The 21563-nt window shown below is 39.9% G+C and overlaps 2 protein-coding genes across 10 annotated transcripts in view, besides 1 other annotated feature; both read left to right on the plus strand.

Annotated features, from left to right (window-relative positions):
* GCOM1 (GCOM1, MYZAP-POLR2M combined locus) overlaps positions 1-21563 on the plus strand; it is a 125654-nt gene that overhangs the window by 54153 nt on the left and 49938 nt on the right. For 5 of the 8 annotated variants that reach the window (NR_104368.2, NR_104369.2, NM_001285900.3 and 2 more), the window contains exon 11: positions 15394-15477. The exons of 2 other annotated variants lie outside the window; for them this stretch is intronic. Coding sequence is in view for 3 of the 6 variants with exons in the window: in NM_001285900.3 (NP_001272829.1) it covers positions 15394-15477 (84 nt within the window). In the remaining 3 variants the exon portion in view is untranslated. Of the gene's footprint in view, positions 1-80; positions 614-15393; positions 15478-21563 lie in introns of all 8 variants that reach the window. One more of the 8 variants, NR_104367.2, reaches the window with a different exon arrangement.
* The window catches only part of MYZAP (myocardial zonula adherens protein), a 93461-nt gene that overhangs the window by 54153 nt on the left and 17745 nt on the right, over positions 1-21563 (plus strand). The window contains exon 11 of one of the 2 annotated variants that reach the window (NM_001018100.5): positions 15394-15477. The exons of the other annotated variant lie outside the window; for it this stretch is intronic. Coding sequence (NP_001018110.1) covers positions 15394-15477 — 84 coding nt within the window. The remainder of the gene's footprint in view (positions 1-15393; positions 15478-21563) is intronic. 2 annotated transcript variants of the gene reach the window in all.
* Positions 1556-1615: a silencer, noted in NCBI's record as "silent region_6474". NCBI's record gives its function as "represses an Ori minimal core promoter by ATAC-STARR-seq in GM12878 lymphoblastoid cells {active_cell/tissue: GM12878}" and the evidence as "EXISTENCE:reporter gene assay evidence [ECO:0000049][PMID:35858748]".

Raw genomic sequence — 21563 nt, forward strand, 5'->3', positions numbered from 1 at the left:
AATTAGCCAAATGGGGGTAGGGGAAAGGAGCCATAGCACCAAGCCCACAAACCTAATCCACTCAATTGAACTGTCTCCAGATCATGTCGCACGAGCTCTTCTCCAGATTTAGTCTCCGGCTCTTTGGAAGATGATAAGTTGGTAGCCTGCTCTGGGTTGGAAGCGATTCCTTTATTGTTCGTGATTAGAAGAACACTTGTACACTCTCTGCTGGGAAGAGGTGGTATTTATCTATGATGAGCCAATGAACAAAACAGGAAGGACATATTATTTAAAGGAAAATTTGACCATGTGGGGCTCTTGTTTGTGAAAACACCCACATACTGTCACCCTGACTTGTACAGCCTCAAACTGCAGAGTCAAGAGAACTCACAGATCCACAGAGTATTTTTAGGAACTTGAGTAGACATTGAAGAAGGAACTGCAATGAAAAAGGCTACTGAAAAACCATTCAGAAAGATCCAGGTGGAGGCTTGGAAGATGAATCCTTACTTATGGAAAAGCTGCCAAAGACATCTGCTAAGGAGATGGGAAGAGAGCTTGAAGAATGTTAGTGCTCTGGGAAGGAGGTGCTCCCACCAGATCACCCCCAAGAAAGTACAGGAGCAGCCAGGTATCCATGTGGTTTGGTTCTATTTGTATATGGGAGGTGGCCCTGAAGGTGTCCTTCCTGAATGGATATCAATACTCATCTTAGGACTCTTCTAAGAGGAGTTTAGCTTGCTTCTATCACCATCAGCATTTTGCCTGAATTGGTTCAACCAACTTCACGAAAAGGAGTGTATCTGATAAAGAGAAATCTATCTGGCTGAAATATGTTGAACTGAAACATCCTTCATGTATGTTTTATTTTTATAGAGGTCTTTCTTGAGATTGCTGCAGGCATTGGTGTTTTATCAGAACATGGCAGTTTTGCTGAGAACTAGCAGTAGTAGCTGCAGTCATAGCAATGGGTGGCATGAGTCTACATAAGCTGGGAGATGGGGCTCGTGGAGTGAGTGCGTTCAGAGGCCCAGTGTCCCTCAGACGTTGGCTAGTTCTCCACTCCTATCACTCCTTCATGGCAAAGCAGGCATGAAGCTGCTTTCTTGCTAATATTTGCCTTTGCTTTCATTTAGATGCTTCTACCCAGCTTAAGCAAGGAGGGAGGGGATGGGAAAGAAGCAGATGAATACTTTTCCGCATTAGTTATTAACCATTAATATTGTTCACCTGTGCACGGTGCTGTGTTTAGACACAGATCCCCAGATACGATGCTGGGTATTCAGACTTCCACTAGGGAGACAGAGGCAGATTTGAGAATCTCATCTGGATGTTAGCTTAGTGTTGTTACCTACACTGTTTTTTAGGGACGCCTTTATTGCTGTAATGTTTTTCTAAGTCTCTGGTGGAAAAGTCACTGGCATTTGTTCTAGCAGCATTGATTCATTGCCAAGTTTTAAAAAAGGAAATAATTAAGAGAATGCAATGACCTTTAGAGAAAACAGGTCACCCATGTAAGTCCTGCTTTCAGGGTGGTGTGCTTTCTTCTGCTTTTAGAGTTTCTTTTCTCTTTTGGGCTATGAACCGTACCTGGAGGCCAGGCAGGCCTTATTCTGGAGCAGATAGTGAGTGAGGTTCCTAGAGTACTGCATAGCCTGAGAGTGCCTCCTAAGTGGATGCCCTCCACACCTCCTGCACTTGGCCCTGGCCCTGGGTCCTAGGCTCATTGTTGATCTTCTTAGATCTGGGTTCCTTGCATTGCAGGACCTACCTCAGCCTGCTCTTGTCTGCCTTTGCTGATGCCCCTCAATTCACCTCTTTCCTGCCTGTACTGTGATATGGTGTGAACTTGACTTATACTGCTTGTGAAACCTGAGTCATGTGCTGAAATCCTGCCCCGCCACCGCTTTCCTCCCTTAACTGGATCCTTAGCCTTGGACTCCAAGGCTACAGCTCTGTCTCGTGGCCACTCAAGCCCCACCCAAAGGAGGTGCTACTCAAAAGTTTGAGGCAGGAGTGATTTATTGTGAATGACAATGTTATAGTTTCTAATTCTAGTGTTTAGCATGGTATTATTCCTTATTTATTTTAAAATCTTAGACAATTTATCTAAAATGTCAATTTTTAGAAGGTATCAGCACAATTGTGGCAGCCTTTTTTCTGTATGTGTTATATGTATTATTTAAAAAAGCAGGTTCATTCTATGACAGGTATTGGTTTCGGTATTCACAATATAAATTGTCTTTTCAAGGGAAAGGATATTTTCTTTGGAAATGTCATTGAATCTATGTTCTCTTTATTGAAATTGTTCTAATTGACTTTGAACTGTTTCTCAGACACCTGGTGCCCAGTTTCTGGCCATAGAAACTATGTGAGGCTGAGTAATTCATGTTTTGGGTCACTACCAGTCACGAATGCTTCTCTCATTCCAAGGCTATGCATATGGATGTCACATTCCCATGTCAATCATCTCTGGAAGGTATTATTCGCCCAGTTTTTTAAGCATGGGAAACTGAGGCTTAGAGTCTTAAAAAATAAGTAGCTGGCAGTCTCTCAGCAAATAATGATGGTGCTGCACTACAGACCCAGATCTGTGACTCCAAAGTCAGCCTTTGTTCTTTTCTTCTTGTTACTTTTAATTGGAAAAAAATTTAAATTGCAAAAAGTTGTAGAGTGATAAAAACAAAAATCCACGAATGCTCTTCTAGGATTAACAAATGTTGCCATTTTGGCACACTTGTTTCTGTTTTTTTTTTTTTTTTTAAAGAAAAGAACACATCACAGATAAAGAAGAGGTTCTCTTTTTACCTGTCCCTGATTCTGTTCCTTTTCCTTCTTTCACCCTCTCTTCTTCTCAGAGGCAGTTTGGTCTCTAGGCCATGCCTTGATGATTTTACTGTGTATATATATATATAAAATTAGTATGTGGCTTAGTTTGTGTTTTAAATTTTACGTAAATTTTAATTTATAATATTAAAAATAAATTGTATTGTACATATTTTGCAACTTATTTCTCAGTTTTGTTTCTGCTGTTATTCCACATAGATCTGGATTATTCATTTCAATGGCTAATATCCTTTTATTTGAATATATTGTAACTTATTTATCCTATTGATAGACATTTTTATTCTTTTACAAACAATACCAACATGTCTCCAGGCTTCTCTAACTAGGAAGTATACGTAAAGGAGGAATTGCTAGGGCATGGGATTGGCATAATTTCACCTTTTCTAGATATTGCCCAATCGCTGCCCACAGTGCACATACCTTTCCACCAGTCACATGTGAGAGGGCAGATTTTCCAAATGCTCATCACCACTTGGCACTGTGTGGACTATAATTTTGGCCAGTTAGGAAATGGCATCTCATTGTTTTCATCTTAATTTGCGTCAGCCTGATTACTCATTGAAACTTGTGAGGTTGAGAAACTTTTCTTAAGCTTATTGGCCATTCAAGTTTCCTCCTTTATGAAATGGTTGTTCATGTCATTTGCTCATTTTTATATTAGATTGTTTTTCTTTTTTCCAGCTGACTTGTAGGAACTCTACATCTTATCAATATTAATCATTTATCGAAAACTATTTGGGTGCCATTATCTTCTCCTAGTCAATGTTTTTTGTTTGTGATATCTTTTATAATATATAAGTTTTTAATGTTGGCAGAAGTAAAGTTAATCTTTTTGGCTGTGTTGTGTGTCTTGTTTGATGTAAAGATAGTTTCTGTAATAGTTTTGCAGTTTGATTGTTCATCTTTAGGTCTTCAATTACAACCTGCACATCCATCCCCTCTATCCTCTTTCTTACTCTGTTTTTCTCCATAGCACTTATCATCCAATAATATGTCATGCACTTTATTTATCTGTTTTGCATATATATTTTGTCTGTTACCTGTTTCCTTCCACTAGAATGTAAGTCCCATGAGGGCAGGGACTTGCATCTATTTTGTTTGTGGTTGTATCTCTAACACCTGGGATAGTCACTGGCAAATGATAGTTGCTCAATAAATATTTGTTGGACAAATAATGATCCATGTAGAATTTATTTTTGTGTATCATATGAATAGGACTCCTTTTATTTTTGGCTCACGGAAAGCTTGTTTCTCTAATAGCATTGCCGTACTGATTTTTTTCACGTCGCTTTCGTCAAGCTGGAGTTGTTTCCCCTGTGCCATTGTCTTTGAACAATCCTGTTTTCCTGCCCCTCTGCTGAAGACTGAAGGAAACTCATTCCTTGGGCTTAAGAGTGGGAATAAGGATGAGGAGGAGCCAGGTACAATTTATGGGGAGCTTATGGGACAGTTGGTACACGTTTAAGAAGAGCCTCTTATGAGCATGAGTGCAAAAATGGACATGAGTTCCTGCTCTCAGAGGACCTTCTGGCTGACATTTAAACTCATTTGAACTTGAGGCAGAATGTCATAGGTGCTGGAAACACAGAAGCTGGGAAACTTAGTGGTTAAGTTCATAGGCTTTGAGTAAATTCAGTCTGCTTTTGCATCCTGCCTCTGCTACTGACTAGGCTTTGTATCTTGAGCAAATTATCCAAGATTCAGTTTCCTTATCAATAATATGGGAATGGTCATAACATTACCTCCTCAAGTGGTAGTTATGAGGATTGACTGATGTGATGTGTGCTAAATGCTTAGCATAGTTCCTGCCAGGACAAACTAATTCTGATGTGGGTGGAGAGTCTTTAGGGAGGAGGTAGTGTTTGACCAGGCCTTGTAGGATGGGTTGGATTTTTCTAGGCAGGGATTGAATGGGTGGACATGTCAGACAAGATATAGAATAAATAAAAGCAAAAACATGCAGACCAGAAAGTATAGGGTGAGTTCACAGAGCATTCATCTAGTTTGGATGGTACGAGGGAGTGAGAAATGAAGAGGCTAGAAATATAGGTTGACACCAATTGTGATGGTTTATTAGCACCAAGCCAAGAAGGATGTCCTTCATCACTCTGCTCATAATTCCTCAATGGCTCCCCATTGCCTGATCAGATATGAGCTCCAGAGTGGTGGCTCTGGCCAGTGGGTGCTGGGTGAATAGGAGGGGAGAGGAGCACGGAGGACAGCAAGAAGGCTCCAAGGAGAGCCCTGGCTAGTGCTAGAGAGTGTTTACTTTCCATGCACTTGAACTTTAGGAAGCGCTTCCAAAATGCAATTTTTTAGCATCAGCTTTGTGCCAGATGTGGAGCTAGGGGCTTCCATATATATGTATTACATGAATTTGAAGCAGTTCACTCCCTTGGACACTCCTGTTCAGGATTTGGTGTTTTGTCTCTGAAACTGAATTCATCGAGAAAAGCACAGGGGTAAATAAGCTTCATCCCCATCTCCATTCCATCTGCCTCCTCTTGAATCATAGAGGGAAAAAAAGGACAGCCTAAAGAATTAGGGCCCCAGCAGATCCTTTGTGACAGAAGATATCACATGTCAACCTTCCTCCCAGCCCTGCCAACTCTCCAGGCCAGCTTTGCAGCCATAGGTTGTCATCACTGGGAGGATGGAAGCAAGCAAACCTCTGAACAGGGTGTGGTGTGAATAGGACAGCCTGGGCCTTGCCCTCACAGATGCTTACTTGGGTCGTAATATCAGCCCTATCAGCATCCAGATGATTGTGAAGGGAGTGAATGAATGATGAAAGTCTTGGCACCTCAGTTTCATGGTCTGGTGGGGATAACCACATAGGGTTGTTTCTGAGAATCGTGAGCTAAGCCAGCAAAGTTCCTGGTAGCTTGCATGCTCCTCCTTTCTTCCTTCTCAGAGAATGTGCTCAGATTGGGAAGCAGTTTAACCGTCCTTCCCTGACATTTGTACAGCCAAGTCATGTTTAGGTACCCGGGGGAGCCAGAGTGCTCCTCCTCTCCTTCTGGAGAAGTTGGGTTATCTTTAATATAAGATAGAAATCAAACCAAATTACATTATTTTACCTCAGAACCCCGTTGCAACCGATCCTTTTGAATGGTATAGTTCTATTATTATATATTACTTCAAACTTAATAGGAAAAAATTGATTAAAATATGTGCCATGTTCATATCTAGCCTGGCTGAATGCCACAAGACACATTAATTGAAAATGAATTTCCACAAACCCAATCAAGCATCATGAAGATGAAAAATGTACCTTTTTCCCTCCATTCCTTCATTGATTTTTCATTTTCCCCACTCAGTGCTTCATTTAGCAATTTTTCAGTTTCGTTTTGTTGTGGCCTTAATTCATTTCCTTTACTCCCCCCCAAATGAGATAATGTACCATTTTCTTCATGCTTATTAAACTCTTCTTTCATGCTGCATTAGTGCAGGGCAGATTCTGATCTTGTCATATTTCTCTATGCATTATTTTTTTTGTTAAAAATAGGCTGAGCTTTTTTCTTTTTATTCTTACATTTTGTGGTGGCTTTTATCAAAGAGAATGGACTTTAAAAAATACAGTAACTATGAAATTACGATGTTACAGGACTTCCAAAATAGAATTAAGGAATGCTATGCAAAAATAAAACACTTTTTCTGAGGAAGAGTGTAAAATATCAATTATTCTCATAGTCACAGTGGGTATGTGGGGACCAGACACAATTCCTCTTTTGTTAAGAGAATTGGAAACAATGGTTTACCAGATCATAGAGGGATCAAGAGGCTGGGTTAAAGACACAGCACTGTCAGGAAAAGAGCAGGCAGAGGGAGACGACGGCTGAAGCCCAAGTGAGCTCTAGAAGGTTCTGTCCCTGACCCAGTCAGTTCACCATTTCCCTGGATTTCTAGGGGTTTTGAAAACAATAATGGGGATCTTCAAAGTATTTCCTTGTAAAATTTTCAAATTTTCAAATAACGTGATGGCATAAATTTCCCCTGAAAAGGCTGTAAGAACTCACAATAAAGTATCATATTCCTCTCTTTTGACCTAGAATTCATAGCCCTAGTAATCTCGTTTTGATTAGATGCTTTGATTGGCAGTTATACATCTTTGATAACATTTTCAATGTGAAATGAATTATTCTTTCGTTAAAGCCATTTTAAGCAGAATGTCTATAAATGAGGGCCCACGAGAAGGAATAACAAAGCAGGGGTGTTGGGGATGGTGGCTGGGGAGCTTTGGTGTATTTATTAACCTGTGGTTGAGTTTTGCGATGTGTGCAAGTACACACAGCCCCGACACTCTGATTTTGAAAACAATGAAATGAAAATGAAATGAAAACATTATAAAGAAATTTCAAATAAAATAATTTAAAATGTTTATTGCAGGGGAAGTTTATGCCATTACATTATTTGAAAATTTGACAATTTCGCAAGGAAACAGCTTGAAGTTCCCCATAGAAATCCAGGGAAATGGTGAACTGACTAGGTCAGGGATGGAATTTTCTAGAGCTCACTCAGGCTTCATTCATTTAAAATGAAAACAAAATAAAACAAATTTTAAATAAAATAAACAATAATGTCAAATAAATGTTCAAATAAAATAAACTTAATGTGGATTTAAAATACTGAATTCCATTTTCCTTATAAGATTTAAACAGTTTGATTAAATGTGACCATCAGTTTTGTTTTTCGTTTTCTGTTTTTAAAGAGTTTATTTGAGCAGGCAGCACCAGGCCACATGCAATTGAGGGCTTCACCTAGGGGGCTTGAGGGGAAAACTTTTATAGGTGTTTATGGAAGCAAGACAAGGAAAATATTTGATTGGTTAAAGCAGAAAGTCCCTACTTAGGCCACACCTGTAATCCCAGCACTTCGGGAGGCTGAGGCAAGAGGATTGCTTGAGGCTGGGGGTTTGAAAACAGCCTAAGTAACATAGCGAGACCCTGTCTCTACAAAAAATTAAAAAATTAGCCAGGCATAGTTGATCACACCTGTAATCCTAGCTACTTGGGAGGCTGAGATGGGAGGACCCATTGAGCCCAGGAGTTTGAGGCTGCCGTGAGCTATGATTGTAGCACTATGCTACAGCCTGGGTTACAGAGGCAAACGCTGTCAAAAAAAAAAAAAAAAAAAAAAAAAAAAAAGTCCCTATTTAGAGGTTAGAGGTTAGTTGGTGTTTTCTGATTGGTTAAATTTAAATTTCATTTTCCTAAGCTGTGACCATTCATTCTGACATGGGTTTCAGTTTGCTTAGGTCAGAACCCAAGGCACTGGAGCCACCTCAGCCTAATGGCCTCCCAATTAATTATTTTAATGGTTCCCCTCTTTTGGCTAGCCTTTCATTTGTGAGAGATTGATCAAGTTTTAGTGTGACATCTTCTGTTACCATCATGGCTGGTTTTCCTTTGTTTCAGCGGGAAACTCCTAAGTGTGACGTCAGTTTTAACCTACCTCCTATTATCAGTAAGAGGGGGCAGGAGGGGGAGTTGATTCTACACATGACACTCCCAGTACATAATCAAAGTGATGTGCACCTTTTATATGCTCTGTATTGGTGTGTTTCCTGTTTTACATAAGGCATTTTTCGTGTTTGTTATCCTTTGCCAGCTGGTGAAAGAAAATACCCCAAAGCACAATTTCTTAACAGCCCATGTCAAGCGCTGTCTGGTATTTAATACTTATTTGCTGCTGTGTTTTCTTCATTAATTTCTCTCCAAGTTCAATACGGAGTTATGTTTCATGAGTCTTGCACAATTGAGTGCTACTCACATGACTACAATGCTACAGCCATCTCATTTTCTGTCCTCTGATGTGAAATGGACTGTGTCCTACATGTTACTAATGGGAAGAAATTCCAGGAAGTTGAGAAGCCTCACAACTTCCAGCTGTGGATTCCTCACTGAATCCATAACAGAACCATACTACATTTTTGTACAATTTCACTTTGGTCTGGTTGACGTATAAGCTCTTTTCAAAACATATTGGGGGGACTTTTTTTTTTTTTAGCTATAGCAATCTGTTTCTAACGCAGTTTTTATTTAAATGTGCAGATTGGCAAGGGTGATTTCAGCTCCTGAGAGAAGTTATCTTTTATATGAGATAATTGATGCACTAAACACTTGTTCCCTGTGGGTTTGGGGTCTAGTACAAGGGAAAAAAGTCAACTAAGGATGGCAGTAACTATGATGTGTCCTAACAGGGGTAGGTTCAAAGGCTGAGCTATCACAGAGAAGGGGGACACAAAGGCAGCCTGGAGGACTTGGAAAGCGCTGGCCTAGGTGACTGTGGGTAGATTGTGACAGCAGCAGTTTTTCTGGTGGAAAAGGGGATGGAGGGTGGGGAGGCATTCCTAATGGAGCCACCAGCCTGTGTGTTCAAAGTCCTGGAGGCGGGACCATAGTGTGTTCATGCAGTGCTGAGAGGATGGAGTGTCCTAAATATAGGGTTCATTGTAGGGACAGGATGGGCATGAAATGAAAGTGGGAAAATAGGGAGCACAGCGGAAGGGCCTCCCGTGCCATGCTAGTGAGTTCGAACATTAAAAGCGTAGGGGGTTTTTAATTGGGAGAGTGAGATAGTCTGCATTCCTGGTACCAGAGCACCTGTATTTTGTAAAAGCTCCCTCCATGGGTTTCCAGCGTGTGGCTATGGTTAAGGATGATTACTTAGCTCAAACCACCTATGCAGGTAACTCGATTGTAGCTAATGTGAAAAAAAAAAGCCATGATCAGTTTTAAGAAACTAAAAGAACTTTTATTTCCCCTCCCTCCTTAAATATCAAACTGGCCTGTATTCTAAGAGACTAACATCCTGCATGATTGATCGGGCTGCAAGGCCCATATTCACATATTCAGTCTGAGTTACAAAGAAACATACTCATCAAAAGAAAAATTAGAAAAAATTCTATTAACATCAGTTAAAAGGTCCCAGATTTTATGAAAGTGTATTTTTCCCCTTGTTCTATAAGGAGGCCTACTGTTTTGTATTTAAATTTAGCTGTTGCAAGATTCTGTTCTTGTATAAATCAAATAGGTGAGGTCCAGAAAATGAGTGCTTCTAATTTCTCAGTTCTTAATGCCCTGGTTTGAGTTTGGTAACTTGCGTCATTTACCACCACCTGGTGACAGCTAGAACTAAATGCAGCTTTGTGAAGGGTAAATTGAAGGTCAAACTTTAACATTTAATGCATCAAGAAGTGAGATCAAAGGTGCCTAATGGATTTCTTGCATACCAGCTATATGGTAACCTGGATTTTGGAGTAGCTCCTGATTTGGGGGTTGCTCTGGGGACATGTGTTTAGCAAGATCATCTTGGCCCAACTGGGCCTCCAAGCATCTGATCCAGACAGTTTTCCCCCTGAAGTCTATGGGATGGATTGTTTAGGAATGGCTGGATGGATTTGTTGATTCATTCATTTGTTATCTGAGAATATAAAGATGATCAAAGTCTTTACTCTTGGGAAACTCACAGCCTAGGGAAGGAGAAACATCAGTAATCATATAATAATAGCTACCTTTTGAGTGTTTATCATGTGCTAGGTGCTACAAGAGACAATATTTCAAGGTTCTTTGAAGTTAGTAGTCAGAAACAATACCAGCCACACAAGTGTGTGACTTAAAGTTTGTAAAAAATGAACCAAAGGCTTGAGAGTCAGATGTTCCTAGGAGGCTATCAAACCCAGGAGCATGTGAGTCTATTTATTTTAGAAGCTGAGTGCGTCACTTGGGAAAGGGATGGGAGGTTCTTCGGGGCAGACCACTGGGGAGACTAAGTTGGGATTCAAGGTTGGCACCCCTTGGGGCCGGCAGTGCACTGACTCTGCCAGCCTTAGCATCCTTAGTGCTCTTATCTGAACAAGTCAATTCAGATCACAGAATATACTAGAAAAGAAGTTTCTGTAAGAAATGTTCCAGGATAAAAGCAAATCTGCACAGATAGCATTAATTCAGCACAATAGCATACTTGTTTCTTGGAGCACCATTGCTGAAAACCATGAGCCTTGTTAGAAGCTGCCGCACCCTCAAATCCTACTCCTGTCCAGCTCCTTCTCCCCAGAACCAAGTGTCTCTCCAGACTAGCATCAGCCCTCTGCTCTCTCATGAGAAGTCTAGAGACCTTCTCTCTATAGCACTCTCTCTAGGTGATGTATTAACCATTCACTGATTTATTTTTTAAACTACCATCTAGGGGACAGTGACCAGTAGGATCCTCTCAATATCTTACTATGAGCTGCTCATTAAGGTGTTTTAAAACCACCTCTCTTGCTTTCCTTGCCTCACAAGCCACTCTGATTTCTTCAGAGACAGTGAAACGAGTGTATTTGAAATCACTTTTTACATCATTTGATTAAATATTACCCCTGACTTTCTTGGAAGCTTTTAGTTCCATTTTGCCTTTCATTTAAAGATTTTAAAAGTTAACTTTAACAATCTTAATACTATAAAAAGGAATGAAAAAGACATACCGTGAGAGTAATTTTTGGGAACTATTTCTACAAAAATGGAAGGAAGTTTACACAAAACAAACTTTAACCCTACCACAACCCCAGAAGTATTGCATTTATCCAACTTCTCTTCCAGCTTTTACTTTCATCATTGTAAACTTTTGCTTTTCTATCCCTTGAGGCTTTTTGTAAACTTTCCATTTTGCAGTATATTTGTTTTTAGTGTTTGTGTAGTATACTCCATGAAATTGATATTTCATAATTTATTACCCTTTCCTTTAGTGCTAGACATTAAGGTTATTTAGTGCTAGACATTAATAGTCCATATTAATGGAAATAACCTTATTTCTCTCTATTATAAATAATGGGAGCAAGAACATCTTTATATATAGAGCTTTTTCCTATGTTTGAATTATATCCTTAGGATAAATTCCCAGGAGTGGGATTAGTGGATCAAAGGGTATGAACAGCTTTATGGCTCTTAATATTTATTGCTAAATTGCCTGAAGGGTCATACTAATTCACAATGCCACCTGCAACACAGGAGAGGAGCTGCCCCTCCCAGTCCTGCCAACGCTCATTTCTTCAGTCAATAGTTTTGGGCAAATTTAATAGGTAGTCAAGGGTAACCATTGCTGTTTTTAATTGGTGATGTCTTTAACTATTATTAACATTGGACATTTTTTCTTACGGGTGTTTCTGTTCTATTTTGTATGGTTTACTTTTCATGTCAAAGGATTACATTTTTTGACACCATGTGAAATTTAAAATACTTGATAATGAAAATGCCAAATGCACACAGAACAGAGAGAGTAATTGATGGAGCCCTCTACGTTACCCAGGTTCAGCAAATAGCAAGATTTGGCCATACTTGCTTTATCTACTCCTTCCTCTTTTTTCCCCTCTTGTGCAGTATTTTAAAGCAAATCCCAGACATTCTGCATATGTTTCCTATACACTTCACCGTGCATCTCTGAACATATGGACTTTTTCTTACATAATTATAACACTATCATCACACCTAACAAAATTAATGATAATTCCTTGCTATTATTTAATACCAACCTGCAATAACATTTTCCAAAGTGTCTTTTCTTCTGATGCTTTGTTCCAATCAGCATACACTGTGTTTACATTTAGTTATGTTTCTAAAGTCTCCTAATCTAGAGCATTGCTGCCCCATCTCTCCCGACTACTTTTATTCGTACCTAAGAACTGAGTCAGTTGTCTTGTAAAAATGTTCACATTCTGGATTCGACTTTTTGTGTCCGTGTTAGCTCTAGAAGCTTGATTAGATCAAGTTTCACCTTTTCGGAAAGGCAAGAACACTTCATGGGTGATGCTGTGTGTTTCATCGTGTATCACTTCTGGGGTGTATAATGCCTGGTTATTCCACCTTGGGTGATGCCAAGGCTGATAATGGAGTCAAGTGGTGACAACCCAAAACATGATTGAATGTTTTTTCATTAGCTTTTACCATCATGGTTTAATCTACTGATGATGGATGCTTGAAGCCATTATTTCATAGAAATTGCAAAATTGTGATTTTCTAATTCTGTCATTCCTTGGCCATTGATTAACTGGAATTATTCTGTCAAGTAAAACTAGGGCTTTTTAGAGTCTCAAAATGCAGTTTGAACAGAGAAGGCAAGACAGATGCTTTATTTTTTCCTCCAAACTCCTTTCCAAGTAAGGAGTTGATGCCTTTTTTACATCCATTGGAGTCCAGTGAGCTGTTACTGTTTTATTCTAAAGACATATAATAGTCATGTTCTTTAATATCTTTATATTTCATGTGTTTTACTCAATTACACTCATTATTATTTTTGATGTTCAGAATGTTCCATCCTTGGCCCAAGGGGAGACACCTCATGTCCTTGTTTTCAGGCATAACAAGGTATCTCACGTTCATCTAGTTTATTTTTTTGTCCCCTGAAATGAGCCATTCCACCAAGATGTCCTGTGTTTTTTTAGTGGGGAATGCTATTTAGAGACCACAATCTGCACATGTTATGTTCTTATTGTTTCCAAGTTTTCTCAGTAGATAGTGTAGAGATACATATTTTACAAAAGAAAATAAAAATTATGAATTCATACTGATATTGTCATTTTAAATTGAACAAAATTTTGTTTACTTCTTTGATTTCACACTTGTATTGCTTTCTCTTACAGTAAAAATCTTGGTTCCAAACATGATGATACCACAATATACATCAAACGGTTTCAAAATAACTTCAGTGTTACTGCTAACAATCTTCTCAGTGAATGAGAGATTACTTTGCAGCTCTATTTATCTTTAATAATCCACTAAGAATATTGAGTCAAATTACTGTATTCTAATAACACTTGGATTAATACTTCTCACCAATTTGATATACATCGTTTCTTCAATTCAGTTTGTTCTCAGATTTTAGGGTTCACTTTTTTTCTTTTTGGCTTCATTTTATTTTTTGAATCTGTAAAATATGCTTTCAAAGTTAAACCTATGTAACAAGGCTTATGTTTATTACATAAACCTATGTAATAACTTATGTTATCCTGTCTCCTTCACCTAAGTTCTTCCCTTTCCCTATTGGTAGCTATTTATTAATAATTAGGGTTCATTTTGTCTTTGCAGTGTTTCTTTTGCAAATACATGTGCATTCATGTGTCCCCACCTGTTTTACATCAAAGCGAGTATACTGTCTACCTTGCCATACACTTCATCAGTGTTTTTGAGATCTGCATTTTTTGGAAGGTTACACAGACCTCCATCATACCATGCATGGTTTAACCAGTCGCTTATTGATGGAGTTCTGTTTTGTGTTTCCTAAAATAACACATATCCTTTGTTCATATCATTTCATATTTTGGCCAGTGTATCTTTGGTATCTATTCCTAAAAATGGAATTGCTGAGTCAAAGGGTTAATGCATATGTACTTTTTCTAGATACTGCTATATTCGCTTCCATAGGAATAGTGTCATTTTGCATGAGAAGGATTTTAAAATTTGTTTTGTTTTCAGACAGGGTCTCACTTTGTCACCCAGGCTAGGGTGCAGTGGCATCATCATAGCTGACTTCCACCTTGACCTCCTGGGCTCAAGCAATCCTCCCACCTCAGCCTCCCAAGTAGCTGGGACTACAGGGACACACCACCACACCCAGCTAATTTTTTGATTTTTTGTAGAGGCAGGGTCTCACTATGTTGCCCAGGCTGGTCTTGAACTCCTAGGCTCAAGCAATCCTCCTCCCTTGGCCTCCCAAAGTGCTGGGATCATAGGAGTGAACTACTGTGCTCGGCCTGAGAGTGATTTTTTGAAATAATTTTGTGAGCACACAAATTTAATATACAGGATTTTTGGAAAGTTAATGTGTTATTAATGATCCTGCATACTGTTCCCACTATTATGCATAACACGGCCTGGTACAGAGTACTCTGGTTCCTGCCTTCAGGGAAGCTATGGTTTGTCTAGGGAGACATGATGTATGATTGGAAAACAAAGAGTAGTCTAAGATAGAATATATTATAAAAAACAAAGATGGATCTTTTTAGGAAGCCTTTCTTGCTTACTCCAGGCCACATGAGTCTTCAGTCCTCTGAATTTCAACACTTTTAATGAGACTTCTAATGATCCTTTTTTCAAACCAACTTTTGACACTTGGTTGAACAAATATGAATGTATTGAATAACACAGCCAAATGTTTGAAATGCAGGCTGCCCTGCAAATTCAAGCCGAATAATCATTTTTTGGAGAGTTGTATCTACATTTCCCAAAGCATGTTCTCTGGAAGATCTTCTGGCTGTTTTAAAGGGTTACACAGCAAAATCAGTGTGGAAATGTTGGATTAATCAAAGCTGAGGAGCTGTGACTCCAGAATCATGTCTGCTGCCCCAAGCTCACCTGTTCACACAATCCGCCTGTCTTGGAGCGTCTCGCGTTAATACTGTTCCACGAAACACAGAGAATCAGTATGCAGGCTGTTTCAATGAAAACCATCCAGCCCCACTGGAAATGAGGAAAAATAGAAATAGAAATAAAAATAAATGAAAACCAAGGGCATCTATTCCAGTTGATAAACCTGTACTTACACAATTGTACATTTTTGATTAACAATTTTCCATCCCTTTCTTTCTAGATTGAATCATTAAAGAAAAAGTTGCAACAGAAACAGCTCTTAATACTGCAGCTTTTAGAAAAGATATCTTTCTTAGAAGGAGAGGTAAGGATCTCTGTTTCTTTAAGTTGGTGTCTTCCCTACCATTAAATTTTATGTTGCTAAGCCTACCACCGACACTTAATTAAAAATATGGCTATTTCCCGGCCTTATAAAATTGATTGAGGGTTAAGTGCCAGCCTTGAAAATGAGGTTCTGACAGCTGTTTTTCCTTTACCATCGGACTCCCCTCATTCCAGTTGCTGCTGACTTCTGCTTTTTGGCTCTAGTTTTTCTTATTAAAGAATCATCCTAGCAAGCCTGATAAGCTGTTGATTAGCACTGATAATTCCCCGCATTTGTCCAGTGCTTTATAATTTGTGAGATATGTTCATATACATTCCTTACATTATTCTCTCTGCAACTTTAAGAAAGGCAAGACTAAGATTATTATCTCTGTATTAATACATGAGAAAACAGAGGCACAGAGAAGACAGGTGGTTTTGCTCAAGGTTGCCCAGCTTAATAAATGTCAGAGCCAGGCTGAAAGACTCCTAAATCCAGTGCTCTCCTGTCACAGCGAGTGAAGATGTGTTAGAGGGGACTTAATTTTACCTGAAACTTTCAGATGCTTAGTATTCTTGACTTTCTGGCTTTTTGAAAGTCATTTGGGGATTTTGTATATGTTCCAGAGAAGAATATTATGGGGTTGGAAGAACTTTACAAGGAGAAGTCAAAATCTATTTGCTCTAAAGGTTCTTTATTAGAGCTTGGCATTGAGCCTTTGCCTTTTGAGACTTCCTGAAAAGCTGGTTTGCCAAGCACCTGTCCTTATCTGTGTTCCTCGTTATAGTCCTTCCACAGTGAGAGAGCCCAGCAGACAATGATAAAGTAAGAAGAAAGAGAAGAGAAAACTTTGATTAAGCCCTGCTGTGTGTTGGGCACTGTTAGTTACTTTGGATATGTTCTGTGTAACACAGAAGTTAAGAGTGGAATCCAACTTACCCAAGTGTGAACCCTGGATCTGCTTCTTATCAGCTGGGTGATGTGGGGGAAGTTTCTTATCATTATAAAGGAGGGATCATAACTGTGCTATGTGTGGGTGACAGTGAAATCAGAATGTATAGAAGGTGCCTGGCATGTACTAAGCACTCAATAATTTTAAACGTATTATTGTTGTTCCCTCTTTATTAAAAGGGACACCCTCTGAGTTAGATGATATTTTCCCCCTTTTTTAGATAGGGAAACTGAGGTTCGGGGGTATTAAGAAGTCTGCCCAAGGTTACAGTAGAGATGGGTAAGCCTGGATCCAGATCCTGAGCTCTGAACCACCATGTTTGAGTGGGTGGTGAGCTGAGCCTTCTTTTACTCTGTTTTTGAGGGGTTGCCTTACAGCAGTCATAACCAGAAGTCCCTCATGGCCCATAGGGGCCTGGCACCAGATTCAACGCCCAAGAGTCTCTGTCTTTTGAAGCTGAGTAAATGGGTATTTTCCCCATTTCCACTCCTGTCTTCCCTGCCACAGTCATTGGCTCAGTGCCAGCCTTGTGAATGAACATTTCTGTTTCTAAGATTCCTTTCTGAAATTGCAGCTCCCTGTGGGAGGAAGCACACCTTCCCCAGTAAGAGTCAGAAAATGAGTGCCCTAGTGGAAGCCCATGTGGCCAAAGAGAAGGCAGTCACAGGAGAGAGGAAAGACAGACTGACAGGAGAGGCAGAAGGTCCCCCAAGACAGTGCCCCCCACCCCCACCTCTGGCTGTGCTGCTAAAGCAAGCTCTCCTACTGGTAGATTCTTAAATGTCCAAGGGAATATTGCACATGGGGAGTAATCTTAGAAATAGCTATGTTGGTTTATGCTCAGTGTATTAAACTCATGTCTCACCTTAGTTTGGGTTGCTCCAGCCCTTGAAATGTGGAGTCCAGATAGTTTATCTGGGAGGCGATCTCAGGAAGCCCCACTAGGGGAATGGGGAAAATGAGACAGGGAAGGGAAGAGAGCCAATAGCGGTGCCATATCAAGGAGGTTGCCCTGAGGACAGCTGAGGCTCACTCCTGCTGGGGATCTCTGGGAGATGGTGTGGAAGTGGCCCTGAGCTTTCCTTACTGAAAGGCCAGAAAGCTGGGGCATTTATCCACTAACTCCCATCAGTCATTAGCTGAGGCCTGCTCTGGGGGGTTGTGGCAGTTCTAGCCTGCCCTCGGCAGAGCCAGTTAGACTCTGGTGGTCAAAGGAAGCCCCCAGATGAAGAATCACCAGTGGCCTGTTAGGAAACAGGAATGCCCAGAGGATGTAGCGGGGTGGGTGGCAGTGTCAGCTATGTCTATCTAATAAGCAAGACTTTGAAAACCAGTTTTTTTTTGAGCATATCAATAATGATTATCAATTTGATTGATTAAATTCCCTGAAACTATTTAAATTCCAATACAAATTTATTATGACTAATTGCTTTTGGCCACTTCACACATCCACCTTAAATAGCAGACAATATATACAAAAAAAGTTGCATAATAACAAGATTTAATAATACATTTAGACTTAAACCTATTCTAAAATACTAAATATCATGGGTTTTAATTTATTTTGTCATTGTTTCTGTTCTTGTTTTTTTTTTTTTTAAACCTTCCTGAGGCCATTGTTTTACTTCTTTCAATATTTTCTTAGGGCTAACATCATTTTGACACCTTTCAGACAGGTGCAGTCATCTTTGAGATCCAAAAGAGAAAGGATACCTTCTCTAAATTGCTAAGATTAGAGGATGTGGGTTACATAGGTTCTTGGTTGGGTCACAGGACCCTCAGTGGCTTCTTCCAAGGTGATTCAAACACAGGACTCCTTATCACTGTCTTTAGCACTATTAAAAACTTATGCATTCTTTATCAATATTTCATCATACATAGCTAGGCCATGTAGAGATCTCCTCTCCTAGGGAATCAGAGGTGACATTCAAATACTTGGTTTTCCTCTTTGGCTCTCAGACTAGCTGATCATTTACACACACTCTGCCGACGCTGTTCCTTGCTAATTGTGGATGATAGCTAATGCTGACACGTTGCTGCCCAACTCTCCACTTGATTGCTCTACGGCACGGATGCTAAGCAGTCCTTCTCCAGGTCCTGAAGTCCTGGGGTGACCTAACTTACATGTTCTTTAGTTATTCTTTCTAACATAACAGAAAACTTTTAAATAGATATCTAATTAATACCTCCTAAAAGAAACCACAAAAGTTTTGGTAGATAAATCTGGTAGCTCCCCATCTTACTAATAAGTAGCTACATTTGTGAAGAGTGCAATTGCAGACTCCAGACTCAGACTACCTGAGTACAAATCTCAGCTCTGCCACTTAGTAGTGATGTGATATTGAGCAAGTTAATTAACTGTCCTATGCCTTAGTTGGCTTATTGGTAAATAGGAACTCTCTCTGTGAAGTGGCATCCTCTCCATAGAGTTGTTATGATGATTAAATATGTTAATACTTAAGTGATTAGAAAAGTACCTGGCTCATGGTAAATGCCATATGTGTTACTGTTTCTTTAATTGCCTGCGTCCCAGGGACTCTTTTATTGTCATTGATAAATATTTTAGATTTATAGCTATGTCCCATAATGAATCACTCTTTCTCTTTTGCTCATCCTCAAAGTTGGAGACTATCATCAAACTCAGCTGTGTGATAATTTAACAAAGAGAATTTCACCTTTAGGTGAACATGAGCAGGGATTGTACAAGCCAGGTCCTACTAGCAGGCCATAGGGCCCAGCAGTCCTTTGCCTGCAGCAACCTGAAAGGTTCATCCTGGGAGGGTGAGGCTGGACGTGAGTCTTATAGGCTGGCAATATTTCAGCTTCTTTTAGCAGTTGGCCCCGATATTTGCAGAATTCATAGGAGTTTGGGATTCATATCAAGTCTTAGAGTTTAAGTGTCATAAGCTGATGGTCTTGTATGATGTCATTACTCCTATTATGTATTCTGGCTCCATGCCCAGGCAGTATTTGGGGATTTATTGATCATGCCTGTGCTCCTCTTAGCCACAGTGCTGTTGGTTTTAAAGAAGCAACCCTTAGTTTCAGATTGAAGAGCCTTGGCTCTTACACATGTCCTCAGTTAGTCCAGTTCCTAGCTGTTCCCCAAGAACACTTTAGCTGTTCTGCTTCTTGAGCTACGGGTTCAGGACTGCATGACATATCCAGCACTGTGCTGGAGCTGCTTCATACTGGTTAATGAAAGCGGAAGACATGCATCACTTCTCAGGTCTCCATTTGGGGATGTCATGTTGGTCGCTTGCAATTAGCTATGGAGGAGGTCTTGACACCACAGAAATTGACATATGTCACAATCAGAGCTTTTTAACCTAGGGATTTTATTGTCAAAAATTTACTAGTGCACCATTAGTGTTATGTAACTCTGCAGTTATACCTAAGGGCTTTGTGTTTTTACCCTGACACCTCTGCTTACAAGCAGAGTAACTCTGGGCAGGTAATTCTACCCCTCTGAGCATCAGTTTCAGCATTTGTGAAATAGGGATAATCCCTCCCACTTGAAAGAAACTTTTTATGATTAAATAATAGATACAAAAGACTTAGAATTGTGCTTGGCACAGTGCGAAAGATGGACAAATGTTAATTCTTTCTTAATTACTCAACCTTTTGGAGACTTCGGTTCTGACTCACATTCTGCCATTATCTGTGCATGACCTTGGGCAAATCATGCCACCAACAACCTGGACTCGGTTAGTTCATCTTTAAAAAAGGGAGAAGGCTTAGATCAACTCTGAGATTATTACCATTTTTAATGTTTGAAAACTTTGTTGAAATGTTGAAATCGTATTAGGATCCTAGACAGTTAAGGGAACACCCTCTACCTGATCCTGGGCTCGGAGAAAAGGACAGGCCCTTTCCTAGGTCATGGCTGACACTCTAGAACCCTTCTTCTTTTCTTTTAAAACAGAGAATATGGATTATTTTAGTCCCTGGATTCATCATTTGTGCTTACCTGGGTTTAAACTCATTAGATTTTGAACTCCCTCCTCCCTCTGCCCCAAATCCAAATGACACAGCAGACTCCTAAAAGCTTGCTCTAGCCTGGCCCTGTCAGACTACATTTTCATCAACCAATTTAAAATCTTCCTGATCCCGCTGATGAGTGAGAACATGCGGTGTTCAGGGGACATAAACATGGGAACGATAAACACTGGGGATTACTAGATGCGGGAAAGAGGGAGGGGGAAAAGGTCTGAAAAACCACCTACTAGGTACTATGCTTATTACCTGGGTGATGGCCTCAGTCATACCCCACACCTCAGCATCCCACAATATACCTTTGTCACCAACCTGCACATGTGCCCTCTGATTCTAAAATAAATGTGAAAAAGAAAATCTTCCTGATAACAAAAATATGCCCATTCTTTTTTCTTTTTCTTTTTTTCAAACAATTTTTTTTATTAGCTCAACTTCTGGAGAAGAAGAAATATTCTCCATTTCCAATATAGAAAATGTTCTTAAAATAACATTGCAAGCATTTATCTTCATAAGCTTTCTGAAACTCTGAACAGATTTCGTTACACTTTTCTCTGTCGGATATACTACACTTACAGCTCAATTCAAAAGTCAGAGGAAAGGAGTCAAATGTCTTGGTTTTGTCCATCCTGCATTTAATGTGTGTTGTGTAGCACCTGAGCCTCTCAGTGTGTCTGTTATGCATTCTTGCGACTATTATTAATTTTTCTGTGTAATGTTGGAGCGGCAGCACCAGGCACTCGGCTCCCCACATGCATTTTATGGAACACACATTCAGTGTATGTGCTACAGCCCCCGAGCTGCCCACACCCCTGGGCCTGAGGGGAATGGTGGGGGAGGTGACCGCCAAACATTCGTGACATAATTTCCAAAAAATGTCCAGAAGTGCTGCACATTTTCTCCCTTCGTGAAAGGCACATGTGCCTCCCAAGCCATTGGGTTGGTATTCGTTACACATATAAACACAAGGGGGTGGTGTTTGAAAGCAGGAAAACCATGGAATTTGCTTCTCAATCCCAGAAGCAATCTTTTTTGTAGCACAGTCCAGGCAGCAGTCTGAGGCTATTCTTTGTCGTTCCACTGTAGTCATATTCTGCAAGACTAAGAAGGAGATAGTCTTGATTTATTGTATCAAATCGGT

This window comes from Homo sapiens, chromosome 15, assembly GCF_000001405.40.
Source record: "Homo sapiens chromosome 15, GRCh38.p14 Primary Assembly".
NCBI classification, from domain to species: domain Eukaryota; kingdom Metazoa; phylum Chordata; class Mammalia; order Primates; family Hominidae; genus Homo; species Homo sapiens.